We start from the raw sequence: 24408 nt of genomic DNA, 5'->3' as shown, positions 1-24408 counted from the left end.
GGTTTCCCTACTGGCTGTGGGTGTGTCTAGAAATGTCACCAGGAGCTAAGTCCTGGAATGGGGGCCTCAGGACTCTGCCTGGTGCCCTATTCCACTATGGCTGAGCTGGTTTCCAAGTTGCAAGAGAAAGTTCTCTTTCCTCTCCCCTTTCCTCTCCTCAACAAAAGGAAGGACTCTCCCCTGGAGCTGTGACCTGTATTGCCTGGACTTGGAAGAGGGGCCATGCAAGTACTCCTTTAGCCACCCAGGCTAGGTCATGTGTCCCCCAGGTCCACTGGCTGTGGGCCCAGCAGACAGCACCGGGACTTGCCCAAGAATTGTACTTTGAGGCCTAGACTGACTTTCAAGTTTATTTAGGATCCCAGAGTATTTTCCTTCATGGTGGCAGGACTTGCTGGATCTTAGGTTTTGATAGCTGGGATTGTCGAATCACCTCTAGCTAGGGCTGGTCTAAATGCCCCCTCCACAGGCTCTAGCTAAATTCTGCCCTATGATGCTTTCTGCTGTGACAGGGTAGCACTGAGTTTCAATGTAAAGTCCCACAATCACTATGCTCTCCATCCCCCCAAAGCACAGATTCTCTCTTTGTGCCATGCAGCCACTGCTGGAGGATGGGGGAGAGGTGGTGTAGACAATTCAAGACTGTCTTTTCTACCCTCTTCAGTGCCACTTTCCTTAATATTGATGTTAAAACCAGGTACTGTGATTGCTCACATGATTTTTGATTCTTATGAAGGTGCTTTTTTGTGTGGATAGTCATTCAATTTGGTGTTCCTGCAGCAGGGAATGATCGCTGGAGGCTTCTATTGGGTCATCTTCCTTTACCCCCATTTCTGAAGCTTTGCCTCCCAAAGCCAGATCTTATAGCCAAATATGTTGTAAAGTGTCTACTTATATTCTTCAAGTAAATGTGTAATATGAATTTCAATGCACTTCAAAAAAAACTCTCAGGAATATATTGCCAGATATGCTTTAAAAATATGTTATTGGCTGGGTGCGGTGGCTCACGCTTGTAATCCCAGCACTTTGGGAGGCCGAGGTGGGCAGCTCATAAGGTCAGGCGTTCGAGACCAGCCTGGCCAACATGGCGAAACCCCATCTCTATTAAAAGTACAAAAATTAGCCGGGCGTGGTGGCGGATGCCTGTAATCGCAGCTACTTGGGAGTCTGAAGCAGGAGAATCGCTTGAACCCGGGAGGCGGAGATTGCAATGAGCCAAGATTGCACCACTGCACTCCAGCCAGGGTGACAGAGCGAGACTCCGTCTCAAAATAAATAAACAAATAATAAATAAATAAGTTATTAAAGCAGTCAATATTAAAATGTGTATTTAACATAATTTATTGGCTGGGTATGGTGGCTCATGCTTATAATTCCAGTACTTTGGGAGGCCAAGGCAGAAGGATTGCTTGAGGCCAGGAGTTTGGAACTAGACAACATAGAAAGACCCTGTCTCTTCAAAAACCAGTAAGTTGCAAGTCAAATGTGCATTTATGGCTGGGTATGGTGGCTCATGCCTGTAATTCCAACATTTTTGGAGGTCAAGGCCAGAGGATCACTCAAGGCCAGGAGTTCAAGACCAGGTTGGGCAACATAGCGAGACTACTGTCTCTTTTATAAAAAGATAAACATTAAAAAAAATTATGAAGGTACATTCCCTGAGAGAATTAGACATTCTTTAGGTTGGTCTATAAGACAAGACAATGTTTCAGAATGACTTTAAAAGGCACATAATTATCATTTTGCCTTATTTTCATAATGTGGATAAGTTTTCTTAACACAAGAAGTATTTCTGTTATATTTAAGAGTTATCACGAACATACAGTTCTTCAACAGTTCAAAAGTACCTGACTTTTTGACTAATGACATTCTAACTGTAGTTTTCAAGTAACTATGTTATATGGATGAATGTTGATAATGGCCAAAAAGAATTATTTTTCATTTTAAACACAGGAAGAGGCAAAATCATATAACAAAACTTGTTACCACTTTAACAATCCATTCTTTCATATATTTAAATTAATAATATCCCAATATGGTCCAAAATACCCTGTTTCTAACAGGCTTCACATTTACAGAAATAAATGTAAGAATGGAAGAGGCAGGAAGCTCCAGAGATTTATGGGGCTTTCTCATTAAGAAATGCTCTCCCTTTATTTGGAGCCCAAGGAGTTTTATATATCCTTGTAAAATATCTTTTTTTTAAGATTTTGGATAAATGAAATATAGTACTTGCCTTTGCAAAATGAAAGGTTCATTTTCAAGCTGAACATTTTAAAAATGTACACATATGAAAGTTGAACATCTGGAAATTGATTCTTTTACAATTATCCCTGCCTGTATACCTCTTGGAAAGCATTTACATGTGGGAACACATGTAAGTTCTTTAACCTTCATTTGAGAAATTCTGTATTAAAACATGTTAATCATTCATAATTTGAGCTACTTAGTAACTTCGGTCAATTATCAGAATCTGAATGGTTTTATGGTGTGCTGGGTATCTTCCATTTGTCCCTTGTTACCACTCATCACCCTTCACCTTGCTTCTTACTCTATGAGGCTAAACTTTAATGGATTAAATCAATAGGGGCCTCTGCCCTCTGACTAGCAATAGGGTTTAGTCACTGGGAATCCCTGGCAGGAAGCAAGAGAATGAGGACAGGTTATCAATAACCCTGCCTTTTCTCCTGAGGAGCTCCCTCGAGCTGGCCATGTCCCTCTTCTACAGGTCACTGCTCTGCTCAATCTAATTTTCTCTCCTGGGTTTTGATAATCTCTGCCTTCAGCCTTTTGGCCCTAGAGGTGGGATAGTTCTGCTGCTGTTAGCCCAAGTTCTTTTGTGGCTTTCCAATACTGCCACACCTTCTCAATTAGTCCCTCTGCAAATCAACCCTCCTTGAATTTGATCCCAATTTGAGAGTGCCATCTGCTTCCTGTTTGAGACCCCCAACTGATAACTCAATTTAGAGATTACTGGCTATGCCCAAATTCCCTCAGGAGAGTAACTCTAAACATGTTTTGGAGCCAAGGAGCTCAATTGGGTATGGATGAGAGATACAGAGGCACAGGGCCATTCTGTTGGTTTCCTATCCCATCATCCGCTGCTACACCAGAATGAACAAGCATAAGAATTGTCTAAATCTGGAGGACCACTGGCTATTGTGGAGGTCTTGCTGGATGGGCGGACTACACAGTATCCCTCAGGGTCATGGCAAACTCTGAAGTGATGGCAAAGACCACAGAAGGGCCATACAGTCCAGAAGGAGATTCCTGACAATAGGGTAGACATGTTTAATTTTACTGAAGATTAGGGAAAATAAAAGGAATAACAGCAGAGGAAGAAAACAATGTAAAACGATTCCTTATGGTACTGGGACATAAATGTTTGAAGGAAAAAATAAACAAATAAAATAAATAGGCAAAAGATTCCTCAGCTATAACTTTCCCGTGCTTAAGGGACACAAAGGTTCAAACACCATTTCTCATGTTCTAACACCAAAGAAGTTGATCGGTTTACCTAGAATTATCCTGAAAATGGTCTCAGTTTCTAACTTGTGTTTTATGTCCTTGTCCCCCTCCAGGGGGTTTGTTTCCTTTAAATTCTGTGCAAAATTTTTACTTGTCTCTGGAGAATTCATAATTGCATACTTATCAGAGTTTGTTATTATCCCAGGATCCAGCCTCTTTTGTCTTATAGTTAATATCCCTAAACCTGGGTATTCAGGGGTTTTTGTTGTTGTTTGAGATGGAGTTTTGCTTTATAGCCCAGGCTGGAGTGCAGCAGCGCGATCTCGGCTCACTGCAACCTCTGCCTCCCGGGTTCAAGCGATTCTCCTGCCTCAGCTTCCTGAGTAGCTGGGATTACAAGCGTGCGCTACCATGCCCGACTAATTTTTGTATTTTTAGTAGAGACGGGGTTTCATCATGTTGGCCAGGCTGGTCTTGAACTCCTGACCTCAAGTGATCCACCCGCCTCAGCCTCCCAAAGTGCTGGGATTACAGGCGTGAGCCACCGCGCCCAGCTGGTATTCAGTTTTAATAACTTCAGCAGACCAGTCCGGGACAGGCTTTGGCCCTCCAAATCTCATCAAAAAGCCAAAGTGGAGAAGTGCATTTGAAATAACCTTTTGCCTTTATCTCATGAGGCTGAGTGCAGCGCCCACCAAATAGTAATCTCTGAATCAAGACAGATGTTAGTTCTAAGAGTACAGACTTTTTAGACCCTTAAGGAGAAAGATAATCACTTTCCTAACTTCTTCCTTTGCAAGGCTATCTACCCCTGCCGTCCACAGAGTTAGCTTTTGCATTACTATGCAAAATGTTTAAATTGCTCATGTTCAATGGAGTTAACCTTCCACATTATTATGCAGAATGCTTTAAGTTATTTATGTTCCTCCTTTCCCAAACTCTACCACTATCCCTTTCTACATTGTGACCTCTAGTCCTAATAGGATTAAGGACCATGATCATTATAGTGATATTCATCTCAATGGCTACTGCCTTAGCTACACTTAAAATTTTTTTTAAAAAAAGAAAAAAAAGGTCAAAGCTCTGACCTTCAAGCTTTTAAAGTCCTATGGTACTGGCCTTACAATGAAAAACAGCAGTCAGTACCTGCCCCATTCTTCCCCACTCTCTCTTCCCATTCCATTTAGTACCTTCATTTTTTTTTAGTTCTTTTATTTTATATATTTCTGTAATTTTAAAAAGTATGCCTAGTCTGCAACTTCCGGATTTTAGCTTTTTTGATATACTGATTGAGGGTGCTGTGATGAGCTGCACCTTTAGGAATAAAAAGACTTACCCTCCTAGCTGCTGTGAGTGCTTCTGTCAGACAACCCTAAGTTTTCAGGCGTCTGCATCTGAAGAGAAATGCCTTTGCCCCCGCCCCCCGCACCCCACAACCTCTTACCAGGGAGGCCTACATTCAGTGAAGTTATATATACAGGAGCATAAATGACTAGTCCCCTTGCCCCAACGTGGGCCAAACAACTTTGTGGAACTATCCAGCATCACAGTTCCCTGTAGAATTAGCAGAGGCCTTCTTTGAGACTCTACTACAGCCCAGCTGCTCCTTCTGCCCAATTCTGCTTTTTTTCTCCTTCCAAAGAACATTCCCCAATAAACTTCTAGCATGTCGATCTCCGTCTCAGAGTCTGCTTTTGGGAAATTCAATATGGGGCATTACCCACTGACTTTCTGCTATGGTAGATGAGGATTTTTCTATTTTGCATAGCACTTCTCTATCCTCTGTCTCTACCACAGCTTCCCCTCATTTCACCTTCTTTATGTAGTGATAGTGACATTTTTAGATAAATCAACATGCAATATAATCACAGGATAATATTCATGGCTGAGTCTTATAGTTTACTCTATATTTTATTTCATATACTTTTTTTTGCTTGATGCAAACAGTTGCCTCATATTTTTATTTCCTTAGTTTTTGTAGCAATTATCTCATTCCAATATTAGAACTAATTCTCCTCTAAACATGTTCGTAAATATTAGCTATACTCAATCAGTTTTATATTCATCTTAGAGACATTGCTCTTAGAGGTCTCTGTCCTGCTCTGTTCTGGTCTTTTTCTATGTCTGCTGACTGCTTTTATCTTGGTATTTCTGTTCTCCATCATTCTGCAAATTCCTTTTACATTTTCCCTAAGTTGTATCCCTTGTTTCCTGAATCCCATATCTTTGTCTTTCTTGGTTTTATCGGAGCACATTCTCTAATAGCTTTCTGGAAAAGAGATCATGGGAGGTAAATTTTAAGAGCTTATATTTCTGAAAATGTCTTTATTCTATTCTCATACTTGACTAATAGTTTGGTTGGGTATAGAATTTTAAATTCCTTAGAATTTTAAAGGCATTTTTCCATTATCTTCCAACTTCCTGGGATGCTGGTAGAAGCAATGTATATTATTATTTTTAATAGAGATGAGGTCTTGCTTTGTTACCCAGGCTGGTCTTGAACTCCTGGGCTCAAGCAATCTTCCCACCTTGGCCTCCCAAAGTGCTGGGATTACCGGTGTGAGCCACCATGTCCAGACCTGGCTGCTAGTGTTTTGGGAAAAAGGAGCCAGAGATTGCAACATTTAGTATGTTAAGTTTTACTAATTCTCATTTTAAGTCTGGGGTGTCTCCCTTTTACTTTACCCTCCCCCCCACCCCCCCAACCACATTAGCTCTGCCAGATGTACTTAAACCCCTGTGGTTTGACTGCTGTAGAGAGTAAATGCATCTTCTGTTAGGAAGTCATATTTGTCTTGTTGTATGAGGTAGGAGAGATCAGGGTTAAAATTCCACTTACTTTAAAAGACTGTCAAGTCTTCTTCTTTTCAGTCTCATCCACAACCCTGTCTTCTGAAGTACCCATTGCCTCCAATTCCTTTGTCTTTCCACAAATCTGCAATGGGAACTGGTTTTCATCTTTTGGACATAGATGCTTACATTTCAGCTTTCTTTTGGACTCCTAAGTCAATTCCCTTTTCTGTTTCAAGATTTTATCTTTTGTATGCTGGCATATATTATATTTTCTAGTTTATGTGTATGTTTGCCATTTTTCCTCTTTGCAATCCTTGTAGCAGGGTTTGAGGAGGGAGTGGAAATATGTTTTTGTTCTTTAAATGACAGTCTCTCTTATGTCTCCCTTTTTTTCCATTTTAAATGACAGTCTGAGGGCGAGTATGTGAGTCTCATTCTTTTAGCTTCATGCTCAAGGACATTATAAAGAGTATCATTTTCATTTAAAAGACATGGTCACTGAGACTTCATGAACAGCCTGGTCATATAGTACAATTCAGTATGAGTTAATTGTTACCCAAGAAGGCCCAGAGGTAAGAAAGTACAGGATAGGAGGAGAGCATGATACTTAACATTCTTTGGATGATTCAAATAAATACATAGAACATGAGGACACAAATAGGAAGGGCAAGTTTTGGCCTTTAACCAGTCTGAGAGAAAGAAGAAACAAATTGAATAAGCATGTCATCAAGAAGATTTTTTTTCTCCTTTTCAATGTTTTTCCCTCAATGCCTATTTGAATGCTGGATGAAAAAAAAAATGAAGTTAAATAAGCAAATGCATTCATGCTGCTATTTTAGTATACATCAATTTTGAATCTAGGATTTATGACTTGCTTACTTCAAAAGGGTAGAAGTAGTTTAATATGTTAAATAATACAAAATGAACCATGAGCTGAATATCTTCTATTTGCCCCTCTAGATGACTCGTCTAGTCTTCTTTACTCTGCTTTCTGCTCTGGGAGACTGACTTGGATCCAAGTTTGTTGTTGTTGTTGTTGTTGTTGTTGTTTGAGATGAAGTTTCGCTTTTATTGCCCAAGCTGTAGTAAAATGGTGTGATCTCGGCTCACTACAACCTCCGCCTTCCAGTTTCAAGCAATTACCCTGCCTCGGCCCCCCAAGTAGCTGAGATTACAGGCATGCACAACCATGCCTGGCTAATTTTGTATTTTTAGTAGAGACAGGGTTTCACCATGTTGGTCAGGCTGGTCTCAAACTCCTGACCTCAGGTGATCTGCCTACCTTGGCCTCTCAAAGTGCTGGGATTACAGGCATGAGCCACCGCACCTGGACTGGATAAGTTCTTATGCCAGCTGTTTTTTTTTGTTGTTGTTGTTGGATCCAACCTAAGGAAAGCTGCAACAGGAGATTCAAGAAAGAAGGGGAAATGAACAAGGTATTTCTTCCTCTGACTCCCTCCTTGCAGTATCTTCTCCAGCTGCCTTTCTCCCTCTCCAAAGGAGATTGCTCTTTCAAGGCTCCCCATTTACACGACACTCTCCTTATAGCCTACTCACCCCTTCTTATCATGCAAATAGCATCTCCTCTTGCTTTGTAATTTTGTTGGGAAATACGGCTGGGGCTACACCTGAACTTTCAAACAGGATGTAAAATGTCGACATTCTGAATGGTTGTAAACAACTTGGGCTGTGTGCCTTCGGGACTGATGTACTACAGGTTGGAGAGAGGACTGGTTTTCTTTTTTCTTTCTTTCCTTTTTTTTTTTTTTTTTTTGAGACTAAGTTCCCCTCTTGTTGGCCAGGCTGGACTGCAGTGGCACAATCTCAGCTCACTGCAACCTCCACCTTCTGGCTTCAAGCGATTCTCCTGCCTCAGCCTCCCCAGTAGCTGGGATTACAGGCGCCTGCCACCATGCCTGGCTAATTTTTGTATTTTTAGTAGAGACAGGGTTTCACCATGTTGGCCAGGCTGTTCTTGAACTCCTGACCTCGTGATCCGCCTGCCTCTGCCTCCCAAAGTGCTGGGATTACAGGCGTGAGCCACTGCGCCCTGCTGAGGACTGGTTTTTCTTGGGTTTTTTTCTTGCCTCTGGGTCCATGACTGAGGGATCCAAGTTACCAATATGTGAATTTAGTGAGTGTTTTAATGACTCTTCTTTCACACCCTCATGCCTAACAACTAAACTAAATGGATATGCTTCTATTTTGTTGGCATTGGCTGAGTACATATTTTGCAGATTGATTGATGTGAAAGGACTAAAAGAACAAAGAGAAGCCTCTATTCTTGAGGATGTATAGGATTCCAATGAGGAAGTCTTTCCACCTGTTTCTATATATGCCACCTTCTTAGGGGCTAAGAGGGGAGACTGAATCCACATTGATTCACATAAATTACATCATGTAGTCTGAGATTCTAACACAATATTGAAGCAAATCTACCTGTAAATTGGTCATTAGGCAAAGGCTTGTTAGAAATGTGAGACAGTAATACGGGATCACAAAAAGGTAAGGTTCAAGGCAGCTTAAGTGAGATCAACGTTAAAATTTTTATGGACTCACAAGTTATTTAAGTCAATTTTCAAAGTTAGCCTGTGCCATAAAAATGATGTCAAATTTCCTTTCTAGGCTATTCTATATCATAGCTGTTTTATTTAAATTAAATTTATTAAAAAATTATATACTTGGTAATTATTAAAATCTAAAAACAAAATATTTAAGAGAAAAAAGTTAGCATTAAAATAGATTATTTTCATTCTAGAAATTGTAAGTTCAGTCACTGATAGAAATAATGATTTTTAGGGGTGATATTTTAAAGAACCGCTGACAGGAATACACCAGATAGCTGAGATATTTATTTTTGCATGGTTAACGTGCCTGATGATAGGATAGAAGACTGTATTTTTCCTGTCAATTTGTGAATATAAAACACTATGGACTAGTTACATAGATGTTGTTCACTAGAATATATCAGGCAAAGGTTTTGAATGTAGATACCAAGCACTGCAGGTAACAGGTGTGCTGGAACGTGTTAATTGATGGCCCTGCTAGTGTAAATGCATGGTGAGAGATCATGATTATTGTACATTTCACGTGGTGCTGCAGAGGGAATATAGGTTTAAATGCAACTGCAAAGATTCTGACATAGTGAAATGCTTGAAGAAAAAGTAAGCTTTTGGTACACTTGTTATCAAAAGAAAAGTAAGCTTTTTTGTGTACCTAAAGAACAAAGCACTATTTATGTGAAAGCAAAAGCTGATTGCTATTGATCATGTTGGTCAAAGTTCTATTAAGGAATGTGTCAGTTAACTGGAGGTTTTAACATCACAGCTGAGCTACTCTATCCATAAATTCATGATCATGCATGAGAAACCATGAGGGAGTAGCTGCTGCAAAGCTCGGAAGATGATGTGACAAGAGACCAAATTTCATCAACAACACCCTGAGAGGAGCCAGTCGGCCAAAGGGAACAGCAGGGGAAACCCCTACCACTTAATGTAGAAAATGCTCATAACAGCTCCACTTCTACATTTGCCACATCTGCTGCAAAATACTTCATCAGGCTGAAAGGCGAGGTGTGACTAAGGGGCAGCACCAACATGATCTACAACTGTGAGAGGTTCACAACTCATTGCTCTATGGAAGTACAGAAGACACATTTTTCAAACAAAACTTAACTGCTTTCTAACAACAAATACTAGGGTTATGCAGCTCAGTCACTATGGTTTTTAAATACCAAGAAGCTAGGAAAATAAGTACTAAAAGATAGTACTCAAAAAGAGACGAATGAATGAAATGCTAAGTAGGTTTGGTAAAATTTGGGGGAAAGGAGAAGCAGAAGAGTCTGGAAGGTACAGAAACTTATATTCGATAAGGTTAATCTGGTGCCTTTGTGAGAAATCTCTAAACTTTAATTGACTGATGTATCCTTATTACTTGCTGAGGAATGCTCCTTTTCTCCCCATCCTCAAACTATTAGAACAATAAAATAATTAAGCATTCATATTCTAAGCCATTTTGATTTTATGGATTAAAATCTTTTTACAGAAAAATTCATATTCAGTTAATATTTATATTCATTTTTCATTTCAGCTTTTAGCTTTTTAATTCACTCAAGCATAATTTTATGCATTGAGCTGAATGCCTTTTATCAAACTCTTAAGGAAACAAAGTTTTACAAATAAACCCCACCCTGTAAACAGTAAAATCCAGAGTCTTAAAAGTTTCAGAATAACAATAATAGTTGTGCCAAATCCCTATTGACTTCAGTGAGCACGGCACCAGGTTCAAGAGGCTGAAGAAGAAACCTAGAGCCAGGAAATGAGACATGGGGTTTTATTTTTACATACACCAAAGAGAGCCCAGTGGCGGCCCGCTTGGCAGGAGAACAGCAACTTCTTGCAAAAGGCATGCAGTTTATATAGCATTTTCACTTAACACTTTCCCTAACAACTTCCACCTGGCAACCTTTATTTAATGCAAAATTCAGGGCCTTGAGCTTCTATATGGCCAGTGTTCCATGGGGAAATGAGGGGTGGAGGGCTGTATGGCTCTTCATAGATAAGGAATGGATCTGCAGGTTTGCCACTTCTGGATTCCCTTAGCTCAGAACTCCGAACGTACATTCAGGTGCATCTGCTATACAGGGTCATTCTCAGGGTATGCCCAAGTCAAGTTATCACTGTCAGGTGTGTCTACCATGCAACAGTTTACCATTCTTCCTTTCCTTGCCTGGTGGTTGTCACACTATTGTATTAATCAATCAGTAAACATTTACTGAATATCAAATGGTCCCCAAAGAGGGGGGAACACACACACAAAGTAGATACCACAGTTCCTGCTCCTAAGGTATTTATAGTTGGAAGTGCTTAAATTATTGTACATATAATAAAGCAAGGAGCAGTTAAATATTGAACAGCTAAGAATTGGCTAAAAGTGCCATAGGAACACAAAGGAGAGACATATTACTATTGACTTAAACTAGTGGAAGAAGTTTTTACGGAGAGAAGACCTGAGCTGGACCCAGAAGGATGGGTAGGAGGGAGAGGCAGGGTCATATAAATGGGATGGGTCAGCAGGAACACAGGCATGGAAGCTGGAAGAAAAACAATGCTGACGCTTGCTACTTACTTCCCCCATTAGAAGCCAAAGTGAGGTGTGACTCTCACAACAAGTAACCGACTGAAAGTACCAGGCTATTAATACATGAGGAGAAATGCTGCTTCAGTAAATAGATAGGTGGCGTTATTGTTTGGAGACTAATTTGAGTATTTATGTTTTGTGCCTGCAACAAGTGTGCTGAAGATACTTAATTAGTGATTAAAGAAGCTCCCATCAGTGTGGGAATAATGCTGCAATGAATATAGAAGTGCATACATCTCTTGAACATACTAATTTCATTTCTTTTTGATATATACCTAGTGGTGCAATTAATTGCTGAATCATATTGTAGCTGTATTTTTAATGTTTTGAGGAACCTCCACACCATTTTCCATAAAGGCTGTACCAATTTATATTCTCATCAACAGTGCACAAGCCTTCATTTTTGTCCACATCCTCACCAACATTTGTTATTTTTTGTCTTTTTGATGATAGCCATTCTAACAAGTGTGAGGTGATATCTCATTGTGGTTTTGCTTTGTATTTCCCTGATGAGATAGTTCTCTTAGTTTCTTTTTCAGATAGTTCATTGGGAGTGTATAGAAATGCCACTGATTTTTGCATGCTGATTATATATCATGCAACTTTGCTAAATATGCTTCTTAGTGCTAATCATTTTTTGGTACATACTACCATCTGAATGTGTCCGCCAAATCATATGTTGAAACTTAATTGCCAATGTGGTAATATTAAGAGATGGGCCTTTAGGAGATGATTAGGTCATAAGAGTGAAACCCTCATAAAGGGAATTAGTGACTTTATAAGAGTTTAAAGGGAGCATGCTAATCTTTTTTGATATTCCACCTGCTGCCATGTGAGGACACAGCAGCAAAGTGTTATCTTGGAGAGCAGGAGCAAGTCTTCACCAGATACCTAATCTTCTGGTACTATGATCGTGGACTCTCCAGCCTCCAGAACTATAAGAAATAAATTTTGACTCGGCATGGTGGCTCACACCTGTAATCCCAGCACTTTGCGAGGCAAGACGGGCAGATCACCTGAGGTCGGGAGTTGGAGACCAGCCTGACCAACATGGAGAAACCCCGGCTCCCAAATGTCCAACAATGATAGACTGGATTAAGAAAATGTGGCACATATACACCATGGAATACTATGCAGCCATAAAAAATGATGAGTTCATGTCCTTTGTAGGGACATGGATGAAATTGGAAATCATCATTCTCAGTAAACTATCGCAAGAACAAAAAACCAAACACCGCATGTTCTCACTCATAGGTGGGAATTGAACAATGAGATCACATGGACACAGGAAGGGGAATATCACACTCTGGGGACTGTTGTGGGGTGGGGGGAGGGGGGAGGGATAGCATTGGGAGATATACCTAATGCTAGATGACGAGTTAGTGGGTGCAGTGCACCAGCATGGCACATGTATACATATGTATCTAACCGGCACAATGTGCACATGTACCCTAAAACTAAAGTATAATAAAAAATAAATAAATAAATAAATAAAAAATAAAAATACAAAATTAGCCGGGCGTGGTGGTGCATGGCTGTAATCCCAGCTACTAAGGAAGCTGAGGCAGGAGAATTGCTTAAACCTGGGAGGTAGAGGTTGCAGTGAGCCGAGATCGTGCCATTGCACTCATGCTCCAGCCTGGGCAACAAGAGTGAAACTCTGACTCAAAAAATAAAAAGAAATAAAAAAAAGAAATTTCTATTATTTATCAATTACCCAGTTAGTCATATTTTGTTATAGCAGCAGGAAAAGATGGATATAGTGGAGACTTTAGGGTTTTCCATATATAAGATTATGTCATTGGCAAACAGGGTTAATTTTTCTTGTGTTCTGATTTGGGTGCCTTTTATTTCTTTTTCTTGCCTAATTGCTCTGCCTAGGACTTATAGCACTGTATCAAATAGAAGTGACAAGAGTGGACGTGCTTGTCTTGCTCCTGATCTTAGAGGAAAAGCCTTCAGCTTTCCATCATTGAATATGATGGTAGGTATGAGCTTGTCACATTTATTATGTTGAGGTGCAATCCTTCTATACCTAATTTGTTGAGAGGTTTTTTTTTTTTAATCATAAAAGGATGTTGAGTTTAGTCAACCCCATCTATTTAGATAATAATATGATTTTTGTCCTTCATTGTGTTAATGTGGTATATCACACTTACTGGTCTATGTATCACACTTGCATCCTGGGGATAAATCCCACTTGATCAGGGTGTATGATACTTTTAATGTACTGTTGAAATTGTTTTGCTAGTATTTTGTTGAGTGGCTTTTAGGGTGATGTTTGCAATGATGTTCATTGTGAATATTGGAGTTTTATTTTATTTTATTTTATTTTTAGACAGAGTCTCGCTCTTTCACTAGGCTGGAGTGCAGTGGCGTGATCTCGTCTCACTGCAACCTCCACCTCCCAGATACAAGCAATTCCCCTGCTTCAGCCTCCCGAGTAGCTGGGATTGCAAGCATATGCCACCATGCCCAGTTAATTTTTATACTTTCAGTAGAGACGGGGTTTCACCATGTTGGCCAGGATGGTCTCGATCTCTTGACCTCGTGATCTGCCCGCCTCAGACTCTGAAAGTGCTGGGATTACAGGCATGAGCCACCGCACCCAGCTATAATTTTATTTTCTTAAAACGCCCAAAGTCTGGCTTTGGTATCAGGATAAATTCTCGTCTCATAAAATGAGTTTAAAGGTGTTCCCTCCTCAATTTTTTGGAATAGTTTGAGAATGATTGACATTAATTTTTTTTATTATACTTTAAGTTTTAGGGTACATGTGCACAATGTACAGGTTAGTTACATATGTATACATGTGCCATGCTGGTGCACTGCACCCACTAACTCGTCCTCTAGCATTAGGTATATCTCCCAATGCTATCCCTCCCCCCTCCCCCCACCCCACAACAGTCCCCAGAGTGTGATGTTCCCCTTCCTGTGTCCATGTGTTCTCATAGTTCAGTTCCCACCTGTGAGTGAGAATATGCGGTGTTTGGTTTTTTGTTCTTGCGATAGTTTACTGAGAATGATGGTTTCCAATTTCATCCATGTCCCTACAAAGGACATGAACTCATCATTTTTTTAGGCTGCATAGTATTCCATGGTGTATATGTGCCACATTTTCTTAATCCAGTCTATCATTGTTGGACATTTGGGTTGGTTCCAAGTCTTTGCTATTGTGAATAGTGCCGCAATAAACATACGTGTGCATGTGTCTTTATAGCAGCATGATTTATAGTCCTTTGGGTATATACCCAGTAATGGGATGGCTGGGTCAAATGGTATGTCTAGTTCTAGATCCCTGAGGAATCGCCACACTGACTTCCACAATGGTTGAACTAGTTTACAGTCCCACCAACAGTGTAAAAGTGTTCCTATTTCTCCACATCCTCTCCAGCACCTGTCGTTTCCTGACTTTTTAATGATTGCCATTCTAACTGGTGTGAGATGGTATCTCATAGTGGTTTTGATTTGCATTTCTCTGATGGCCAGTGATGGTGAGCATTTTTTCATGTGTTTTTTTGCTGCATAAATGTCTTCTTTTGAGAAGTGTCTGTTCATGTCCTTTGCCCACTTTTTGATGGGGTTGTTTGTTTTTTTCTTGTAAATTTGTTTGAGTTCATTGTAGATTCTGGATATTAGCCCTTTGTCAGATGAGTAGGTTGCAAAAATTTTCTCCCATTTTGTAGGTTGCCTGTTCACTCTGATGGTAGTTTCTTTTGCTGTGCAGAAGCTCTTTAGTTTAATTAGATCCCATTTGTCAATTTTGGCTTTTGTTGCCATTGCTTTTGGTGTTTTAGACATGAAGTCCTTGCCCATGCCTATGTCCTGAATGGTAATGCCTAGGTTTTCTTCTAGGGTTTTTATGGTTTTAGGTCTAACGTTTAAGTCTTTAATCCATCTTGAATTGATTTTTGTGTAAGGTGTAAGGAAGGTATCCAGTTTCAGCTTTCTACATATGGCTAGCCAGTTTTCCCAGCACCATTTATTAAACAGGGAATCGTTTCCCCATTGCTTGTTTTTGTCAGGTTTGTCAAAGATCAGATAGTTGTAGATATGCAGCATTATTTCTGAGGGCTCTGTTCTGTTCCATTGATCTATATCTCTGTTTTGGTACCAGTACCATGCTGTTTTGGTTACGGTAGCCTTGTAGTATAGTTTGAAGTCAGGTAGGGTGATGCCTCCAGCTTTGTTCTTTTGGCTTAGGATTGACTTGGCAATGCGGGCTCTTTTTTGGTTCCATATGAACTTTAAAGTAGTTTTTTCCAATTCTGTGAAGAAAGTCATTGGTAGCTTCTAACAGACAGGACCCCCCTGCAGCACGGCCAGGTGGCCGTGTGAGGCGTCAGTCTGCCCCTGCTGGGGGGGTGCCTCCCAGTTAGGCTGCTCGGGGGTCAGGGGTCAGGGACCCACTTGAAGAGGCAGTCTGCCCGTTCTCAGATCTCCAGCTGCGTGCTGGGAGAACCACTGCTCTCTTCAAAGCTGTCAGACAGGGACATTTAAGTCTACAGAGGTTACTGCTGTCTTTTTGTTTGTCTGTGCCCTGCCCCCAGAGGTGGAGCCTACAGAGGCAGGCAGGTCTCCTTGAGCTGTGGTGGGCTCCACCCAGTTGGAGCTTCCCGGCTGCTTTGTTTACCTAAGCAAGCCTGGGCAATGGTGGGCGCCCCTCCCCCAGCCTTGCTGCCGCCTTGCAGTTTGATCTCAGACTGCTGTGCTGGCAATGAGCGAGACTCCGTGGGTGTAGGATCCTCCCTGCCAGGTGCGGGATATAGTCTCCTGGTGCGCCGTTTTTTAAGCCCGTCGGAAAAGCGCAGTATTTGGGTGGGAGTGACCCGATTTTCCAGGTGCCATCTGTCACCACTTTCTTTGACTAGGAAAGGGAACTCCCTGACCCCTTGCACTTCCGAGTGAGGCAATGCCTCACCCTGCTTCTGCTCGCGCACGGTGCGTGCACCCACTGACCTGCGCCCACTGTCTGGCACTCCCTAGTGAGATGAACCCGGCACCTCAGATGGAAATGCAGAAATCACCTGTCTTCTGCATCGCTCAGGCTGGGAGCTGTAGACCAGCGCTGTTCCTATTCGGCCACCTTGGCTCCTCCCCTCGAATTCCGACATTAATTTTTAATTGTTTGGTAGAATTCACAGGTAAAGCCATTAGGTACTGGGCTTTTCTTTGATAGCAGATTTTTTTAAATTATAAATTTATTATCTTTGCTCATTGTTGATCTGTTTAGACTTTTATATCTTTGTGATTCAGTTTTGGTAGGTTGTAAGTTTTTAGGAATTTATCCATCTCATCTAGGTTATCCAATTTGGGGAAATATAATTATTCATAGTGGTCTCTTGTTACAGGATTCTTGGGGTGTCTCTTTGCCAGCCAGAAACCTCTGTGGGCAGTGGCGCCTTTGCCCAAGTTTTGCTCAGGCCCACTGGGCTCGTTCTGCACACTTGGCCTTGCAGGCTGCACTCAGCTTGTGCTGCTGGCCTGGATTCCATGCCTGCCAAAGGTCAGCCAGGCACAGAGCAGCAAGGGGTGTGTGAGTGAGCATGGGGTCCTGCCACTGCACATAGCCAGGCATGCCAGCTGCAGCAGCATAGGCAGCTCCAGGCAGCAGTATGGGTGCTGGCTCCCTGTGAGGCTGTGGCTGGACCAGGCGTACCACAAGCAGCTTCCATGGCTGACACTGGAGAATGCGATGGTGCCTGTAAGCTTGGAGACACCAGGGACCATGGAAATCTCTGTGAGCAGTGGCGCCTTTGCCCTAGCTTAGCTCAGGCCCACTGGGCTCGTTCTGCCCACTTGGCCCTCTGTAGCTGGTTGTTCCATCGTCCCTTCTGGTCTAGCTGAGTCCAGGGCTTTTATGGGCCTCAGTGGGAGGAAGTGTGTGCTGATTGGTCCATGGGTGGCCATAGGTGGGCCCAGAAAAAGCAACACAAGTTGCCACTCTGGTCCACAGGACCGCCAGCCCAGCCCCTAGGCCTCAGGCCCTCCCTGGGTGGGGTTTCACTGGAGACTCATCCCTCTCTGCCCAGGAGCCTGTCTGCCTCCTGCCACCATTCATGTCACCCAGGCTGTTCATGCAAAGGAGTGCCTGCAGGCCAGCATTGAGCTGCTTTCAGCACCCTCTGGCCTCCCTCCCATGTTCATTGGTGCCCAAAGTCTGGAGGGAGCCAAGTAGAGGCCTGGCATGTTAGTACTGCCCTGAGTGTGCACACACCCAGCTGTGCTGTGACAGCACCCAGGCTCAGCCCCAACCTTGCTCTGAGATCAGAGTGGGCACTGGGAGTGGGGAGAAGGTAGGCAGTGGGAGCAGACACCATCAAGCCTGCATTGGAAAGGGGAAGTCTTCCTGGGCCCCCAAGAGTGCAGAGATTCCTGGGTTCGCAGTTGCAACTTGGGCAGCTGCAGCTGTGCCTGGGAGGGTGAGGCTTCTACTTGCTTGCAGCTCTGCTGGCTTCGTGGAGCATGGCACTGTCCCAGGACCAGCTCCACCTCAGGGCTCCTGTATACCTGCCCCTCCATGCCTGATCACGCTGCTCCTCCACCAGTGGGTGACTCAACCTGGCCCCATTGCAGTGGCTCCCTCACTGGTGGGCAACTTGGTCCATCCTCATCACAGTGGCTCCCAGGGGCAGGCTCCAGGGACTGCTTGCCTCCTCTCCACATTTTCCCTGCAGTGGTGGCAGGCAAAGTGAAGACAGTGTGGTATCCCTGGCCAACCCTGCACAAATGAACCCGACGCTCTCAGGGCTGGCCCCATGAGTCCTGGCTGCACTTTAGCCAGGTGCTCACAGGCTCCCAAGATGCAGTAAGGAGCAAAGTTGAGGCTGTGGCAGAGGCTTCAGGCCTGGGAGCAGGTCCTGCCCAGTCCTGCAAGGGTGGGGGCAGCACAGTTGGCTGCCTTGGGGACCTGGGGCACATGGGTCCCATCGCTGCCACTGCTGCTCCTCCCACCACCTTCTGTGCCTCCCTGCTGCAGCCAACATGATGCCAGCACTCTGGACAGCCCACCACTGCCATCATTATGATCCTTTATATTTCTGTGGTATTAGTTGCATATCTCCTCTTTCATTTATAATTTTATTTACTCAAGTCTCTTCCCTCTTTTTTTGTAAAATTATTCTAGCTAAACATTTGTCAATTTTATCTTTCAAAAAAGTAACTCAGTTTTATTTATATTTTCTTTTTTTTTTTAGTCTCTATTCCTTTGATTTATGCGCTGATCTTTATTACTTCCTTTTTTCTACTAACTTTGGGAATCACTTATTCTTTTTTTATTCTCATGATATAATGTTAGGCTGTTTATTTTAAATCTTTCTTTTTCATACCGTGGGTGTTTATTGCTATAAACTTCCATCTTAGAACTGCTTTTACTGCATCCCATAAGTTTTAATATGTTGGGCTCATTTTCCTTTGTTTCAAGATTTTTAAAATTTCTTTTTACCCCATGCCAGGCCTCTCAGGCTGGCATCAGCTCTGGACTCCCTTGGGACAGAGTTCTCAGAGGGAGAGACAGGCCACCATTTTTGCTGTCCTACAGCTCTTGTCACTCTTGTTTCAGGCTCTGAAGGGTGCATGGTGATTAGGGACTGGCATGGACTCCCAGCACAACACAGCCACCCCTTGGAAAAGTGGTTGACTGTTCATATAGGTCCCCATCCCCACTTCTCACTGGATGGGTCTGGGACTCCAGTACAACTACCCTGCCCCCACCTGAACATGTCAGTTGGAGGTGGCTTTGCATTTCTCTGAAGAGGAAATCCCAGAGTCAACTCACAACCCATCTGCCATTGCAGCTGCAGTGGTACTGCCCTAACTACCCTCAGGCTGGGGTAGGGACAAAGGGCCTGGTTGATAGGCTGGCAACTCCAGCACACCAAAGCTACCACATGGAGAGGAGTCCAGTCTCTCTTTCTTGTGAGTCCCCACCTCCAACTCTTCACCAGGCAGGGCCCACAACTTAGGACTGCAGATGAGTCACCCCACACACAGCTAAGAACACTTACTGGAAGTGGTTCTGAGATTCCCTGGGGATGGGCTCCCAGAGGCAACCAAAAGTCCCTCCTCTACAGCCACAGCAGCAGTTTTCCTGCTGCCCTTGTTCTGGGGAATAAACAAAGAGCCTTAGGGCTTTACCTGCACTTACAGCATGCCACAGTCACCATACTTAGAGGAATCCAGTCTCTCTTCCCTGTGAGCCCTCGACACCCAACTCCTCAATAAGTGGAGTCCCCAGCTCAGGCCAGCAGCTCAGCTGCCACTACCCCTGGCTGAACATTCTGAGTAGCAGCAGCTCTGCATTTCTCTGAAGTGGAGCTCCCAGAAGCCCCTCTGCCAGTACCACTGCCGTGGTACTGCCCTTGCTGCCCTCAGACTGGGAAAGGAGCAAAGACCCTAAGTACTTTAACCACACCTCCAGCAAGCCACAGTTACTCTAAGGAGAAGAGGCCAGTCTGTCTCCCCTGAGTCCCACCCACACCCCTGCTTATCATCAGGCAGGGATCCCCTGATTTGGGCTAATAGCACAACTGCCCCATCTGAGACCAGTTGCACTGTTTGATTGCAGCTCTGCATCTCTCTGGGGTGGAGCCCCAAGAGACAAGTGAAAGATCATCTGCCATAACCACTGCTAAGGTCCCTTCCCCTGCTGTTTCCAAGCTGGGAGGGAACCCCAGAACTGCAGTGTGCAGCCTTGGAGGGCTAACCCAAGATCTGCAGCCGCACTCAAGTGGGAGAGGAACAGCAACTTCAGAGAATTGAGAGGGAACATGGCCACAATCATGAGGAAATACAGACTGAGTGACAGCCTAACTACTGGCCATTATGCTTAAGTGCCACTTACTGGATCACAGCCCAAAACTCCAACACTAAAAATACTTTGCTAATATAACCCCCCTGTTAAACCAAGGATAATAATTCAGCTACAAATAAAGACCTGACACAAAGCCTAGACTTTCTGAAAACATCCAGAAAAGAAGTCTACTGACTGTATTCAAATTTACACCATAGTTAAAGAAACATCAGCCCACACAGATGAGAAAAAACCAGTGCAAGAATTCTGGCAATTCAGAAAGCCAGAGTGTCTTCTTTCCTCCAAATGATTGCACTAGTTCCCCAGCAGGGGTTCTTAACTGCACTGAAATGACTGAAATGACAGAAACAGAATTCAGAATATGGATAGGAATGAAGATCATTGAGATTCAGGAGAATGTCAAAACCCAATCCAAGGAATCACAATAAAACCATACAGGAGCTGATAGACAAAATAACCATCATAAAAAAACGAAACTGATCTGATACAGCTGAAAAACACACTATACGAATTTCATAGTTTAATCACAAATATTAACAGCAAAATATACCAAGCAAGGGAAAGGATCTCAGAGCTTGAAGAATGACTCTCTGAAACAACTCAGTCATACAGAAATTAAAAAAAAAAAAGAATAAAAAGGAATGAACAAAATATCCAAGAAATATGGGATTATGGAAAGAGATATGACAGATTGGCATCCCTGAAAAAGATGGGGAGAAAGCAAGCAACTTGGAAACATATTTCAGGATGTCATCCATGAATAATTCCCCAACCTTGCTACAGAGGCCAACAGTCAAATTCAGAAAATGCAGAGAACACCTGCAAAATGTTATCCAAGAAGACCATCCTCAAGACACATAATCATCAGATCCTCCAAGGTCAAAATGAAAGAAAAAATGTTAAAGGCAGCTAGAGAGAAGGGACAAGTCACCTACAAAGGGAACCCCATTAGACTGGCAGTGGATCTTTCAGCAGAAACCCTACACCCCAGAAGGGAATGGGGACCTATATTCAGTGTTGTTAAGGAAAAAAGTTTCCAATCAAGAATTTCAAATCCAGCCAAACTAAGCTTCATAATTGAAGAAGAAATAAGATCCTTTCCAGATAAACAAATGCTGAGGGAATTCATTACCATGAGACATGTATTAAAGAAGAGCTCCCTAAAAGAACACTAAATATGGAAAGGAAAGACTGTTACTAGCAACTAAAAAAACACAGGTATATAGACCAGTGACACTCTAAGGCAACCATACAAACAAAGCTGCATAATAACTATCTAACAACATGTCAGGATCAAACCCACACATATCAACACTGATCTTGAATGTGAATGGGCTAAATGCTCCAATTAAAAGACAGAGTGATGGGCACATGTTCTTAGGTTCTCCTGAGGGCTATTTCAGGGAAAAAAGAAAAGGCATAGCATGGCAAGCTGGATAAAGAACCAGGACCCAATGGTATGCTGTCTTCAAGAGACCCATCTCACATGCAGTTACACACATAGGCTCAAATTAAAGGGATGGAGAAAAATCTATCAAGCAAATGGAAAACAGAAAAAAGCAGGGGTTGCAATCCAAATCTCAGACCAAACAGACTTTAAACCATGAAAGATCAAAAAAGACACAGAAGGACATTACATAATGGTAAAGGGTTCAATTCAACAAGAAGACCTAACTATTCTAAATATATGCACCCCACACAGAAGAACCCGGATTCATAAAGCGGGCTCTTAGAGACCTATGAAGCAACTTAGTTTCCTAAGCAATAATAGTGGGAGGTTTTAACATCCCACTGACAGTATTAGACAGATCATTGAGTCAGAAAATTAACCAAGATATCCAGGACCTGAACTCAACACTTGACCAAATGGACCTAAAAGACATTTACAGAACTCTCCACCCCAAACCAACAGAATATACTTTCTTCTCATTGCCAAATGGCACATACTCTAAAATCAACCAGACAATCAGACATAAAACAATACTCATCAAATTAAAAAAATCCCAAATCATACCAACCACATTCTTTGACCATGGTGAAAAACAGAAATCAATACTGAGAAAATCACTCTAAACCATACAATTACATGGAAATTAAACAACCTGCACTTGAATGACTTTTGGATAAATAATGAATTAAGGCAGAAGACAAGAAATTCTTGGAAAATAATGAGAACAAAGATACAACATACCAGAATCTCTGGGACACAGCTAAGGCAGTGTTTGGAGGGAAGTTTACAGCACTAAATTCCCACATCAAAAAGTTATAAAGATCCCAAATTAACAACTAAACATCAAAACTAGAACAACTAGAGAAGCAAGAGCAAACCAAACCCAAAGCTAGCATAAGACAAGAAATAACCAAAAGCAAAGCTGAACTGAAGGAAATTAAGACAAAAAAAAAATTATACAAAAGATAAATCCAGGAGTTGCTTTTTTGAAAAAATTAAAAAGATAGACAATTAGCTAGACTAATAAAGAAAAAAAGAGAAGACTCAAATAAACATAATTAGAAATGACAAAGAAAACATTACTACCAACTCCACAGAAATACAAATAACTGTCAGAGACCACTATGAAAACCTCTATGCACACAAACTAGAAAATCTGGAAGAAACTGGTAAATTCCTGGACACATAAAACCTCCCAAGACTGATCCAGGAAGAAACTGAATTCGCAAACAGACCAATAAAGAGTTCAAAAATTAAATCAGTAATAAAACACATACCAAAAAATAGAAGTCCAGGAACAGATGAATTCACAGCTGAATTCTACCAGATATATAAAGAGGAGCTGGTACCATTCCTACTGAAACTATTCCAAAAAAATTGAGGAGGAAGGACTCCTCTCCAACCCATTCTACAAGGCCAGCATCATCCTGATGCCAAAACCAGAGAGAAAAGCAACAACAAAAATAAAAACATCCAGCCAATATCCTTGATGAACATTGATGCAAAATTCCTCAACAAAATATTAACAAATTGAATCCAGCAGCACATCCAAAAGGGAACCCACCGTGATCAAGTAGGCTTTACCTCTGGGATGAAAGGCTGGTTCAATAGACACAAAACAATAAAAGTGATTCATCACATAAACAGAACTATAGACAAAAACCACATGATTATCTCAATAGATGCAGAAAAGACTTTTTATAAAATACAACATCAATTCATATTAAAAATCCTCAATAAACTAGGCATTCAAGGAATATACTTCAAAGTAATAAGAGCCATCTATGACAAACCTGTAGCCAACATCATACTGAATGAGCAATAGCTGGAAGCATTCCCCTTGAAAACTGGCATAATACAAGGATGCCCACGGTCACCACTCCTGATCAACATGGTATTGCAAGTCCTGGCCAGAGCAATCAGGCAAGAGAAAGAAATGAAAGGCATCCAAATGAGAAGAGAGGAATTCAAAACTATCCCTGTTTGTAGACTACATGATTCTGTATCTAGAAACCCCCATAGCCTCTGCACAAAATTTCCTTGAGCAATAAACAACTTCAGCAATGTTTCAGGGTACAAAATCAATGTACAAAAATTAGTACCATTTTTATACACTAATAACATCCAAGCTGAGGACCAAATCAGGAATGCAATTCAATTTACAGCTGCCACAAAAAGAATAAAAAAACTAGAAATACAGCTAACAGGGAGGTGACAAATTTTTACTGTCACCTGAGAATGAGGTGACAAAATGAGAATGAGAATTACAAAACACTGCTAAAAAAATTAGCAATGACACAAACAAATAGAAAAACATTTTATGCTCATGGATAGGAAAAATCAATATCATTAAAATGGCCATACTGTCCAAAGCAATTTACAGATTTAGTACTATTCCTATCAATTACATTCTTCACAGAATTAGAAGAAAACAACTGTAAAATTCATATGGAATGCAAAAAGAGCTCAAATAGCCAAGGCAATCCTAAGCAAAAAGAATAAAGCTGAAGGCATCATGCTACCTGACTTCAAATTTATACTACAGGGCTATAGTAACCAAAACAGCATGGTACTGCTACAAAAACAGACACATGGGCCAATGGAACAGAATAGAGGGCCCAGAAATAAGGCTGCATACCAACAAACACGTGATCTTCAACAAAGCTGACAAAAACAAGCAATGGAAAAGGACTCCCTATTAAATAATTGGTGCTGGGATAACTGGCTAGCCATATGCAGAAGATCA

General features: G+C 41.9%; 6 annotated features.

Moving 5' to 3' along the window:
• Positions 3438 to 4395: an enhancer, noted in NCBI's record as "OCT4-NANOG-H3K27ac hESC enhancer chr1:197783567-197784524 (GRCh37/hg19 assembly coordinates)". NCBI's record gives its function as "activates a minimal SCP1, AML or CMV promoter by ChIP-STARR-seq in naive and primed H9 embryonic stem cells {active_cell/tissue: H9 hESC(naive and primed)}" and the evidence as "EXISTENCE:reporter gene assay evidence [ECO:0000049][PMID:30033119]".
• Positions 4396 to 5354: an enhancer, noted in NCBI's record as "OCT4-NANOG-H3K27ac hESC enhancer chr1:197782608-197783566 (GRCh37/hg19 assembly coordinates)". NCBI's record gives its function as "activates a minimal SCP1, AML or CMV promoter by ChIP-STARR-seq in primed H9 embryonic stem cells {active_cell/tissue: H9 hESC(primed)}" and the evidence as "EXISTENCE:reporter gene assay evidence [ECO:0000049][PMID:30033119]".
• Positions 4759 to 5053: a silencer, noted in NCBI's record as "tiled region #8821; HepG2 Repressive non-DNase unmatched - State 22:ReprW, and K562 Repressive non-DNase unmatched - State 24:Quies". NCBI's record gives its function as "represses a minimal TATA promoter and a strong SV40 promoter by Sharpr-MPRA in HepG2 and K562 cells {active_cell/tissue: HepG2 | K562}" and the evidence as "EXISTENCE:reporter gene assay evidence [ECO:0000049][PMID:27701403]".
• Positions 7354 to 8090: an enhancer, noted in NCBI's record as "OCT4-NANOG-H3K27ac-H3K4me1 hESC enhancer chr1:197779872-197780608 (GRCh37/hg19 assembly coordinates)". NCBI's record gives its function as "activates a minimal SCP1, AML or CMV promoter by ChIP-STARR-seq in naive H9 embryonic stem cells {active_cell/tissue: H9 hESC(naive)}" and the evidence as "EXISTENCE:reporter gene assay evidence [ECO:0000049][PMID:30033119]".
• Positions 15633 to 16372: an enhancer, noted in NCBI's record as "OCT4-NANOG-H3K27ac-H3K4me1 hESC enhancer chr1:197771590-197772329 (GRCh37/hg19 assembly coordinates)". NCBI's record gives its function as "activates a minimal SCP1, AML or CMV promoter by ChIP-STARR-seq in naive H9 embryonic stem cells {active_cell/tissue: H9 hESC(naive)}" and the evidence as "EXISTENCE:reporter gene assay evidence [ECO:0000049][PMID:30033119]".
• Positions 17854 to 18594: an enhancer, noted in NCBI's record as "H3K4me1 hESC enhancer chr1:197769368-197770108 (GRCh37/hg19 assembly coordinates)". NCBI's record gives its function as "activates a minimal SCP1, AML or CMV promoter by ChIP-STARR-seq in naive H9 embryonic stem cells {active_cell/tissue: H9 hESC(naive)}" and the evidence as "EXISTENCE:reporter gene assay evidence [ECO:0000049][PMID:30033119]".

This window comes from Homo sapiens, chromosome 1, assembly GCF_000001405.40.
Source record: "Homo sapiens chromosome 1, GRCh38.p14 Primary Assembly".
Taxonomy (NCBI): Eukaryota; Metazoa; Chordata; class Mammalia; order Primates; family Hominidae; genus Homo; species Homo sapiens.
Note: the sequence above shows the minus strand (reverse complement) of the source record. Positions and strands in the feature narration are given on the sequence as shown.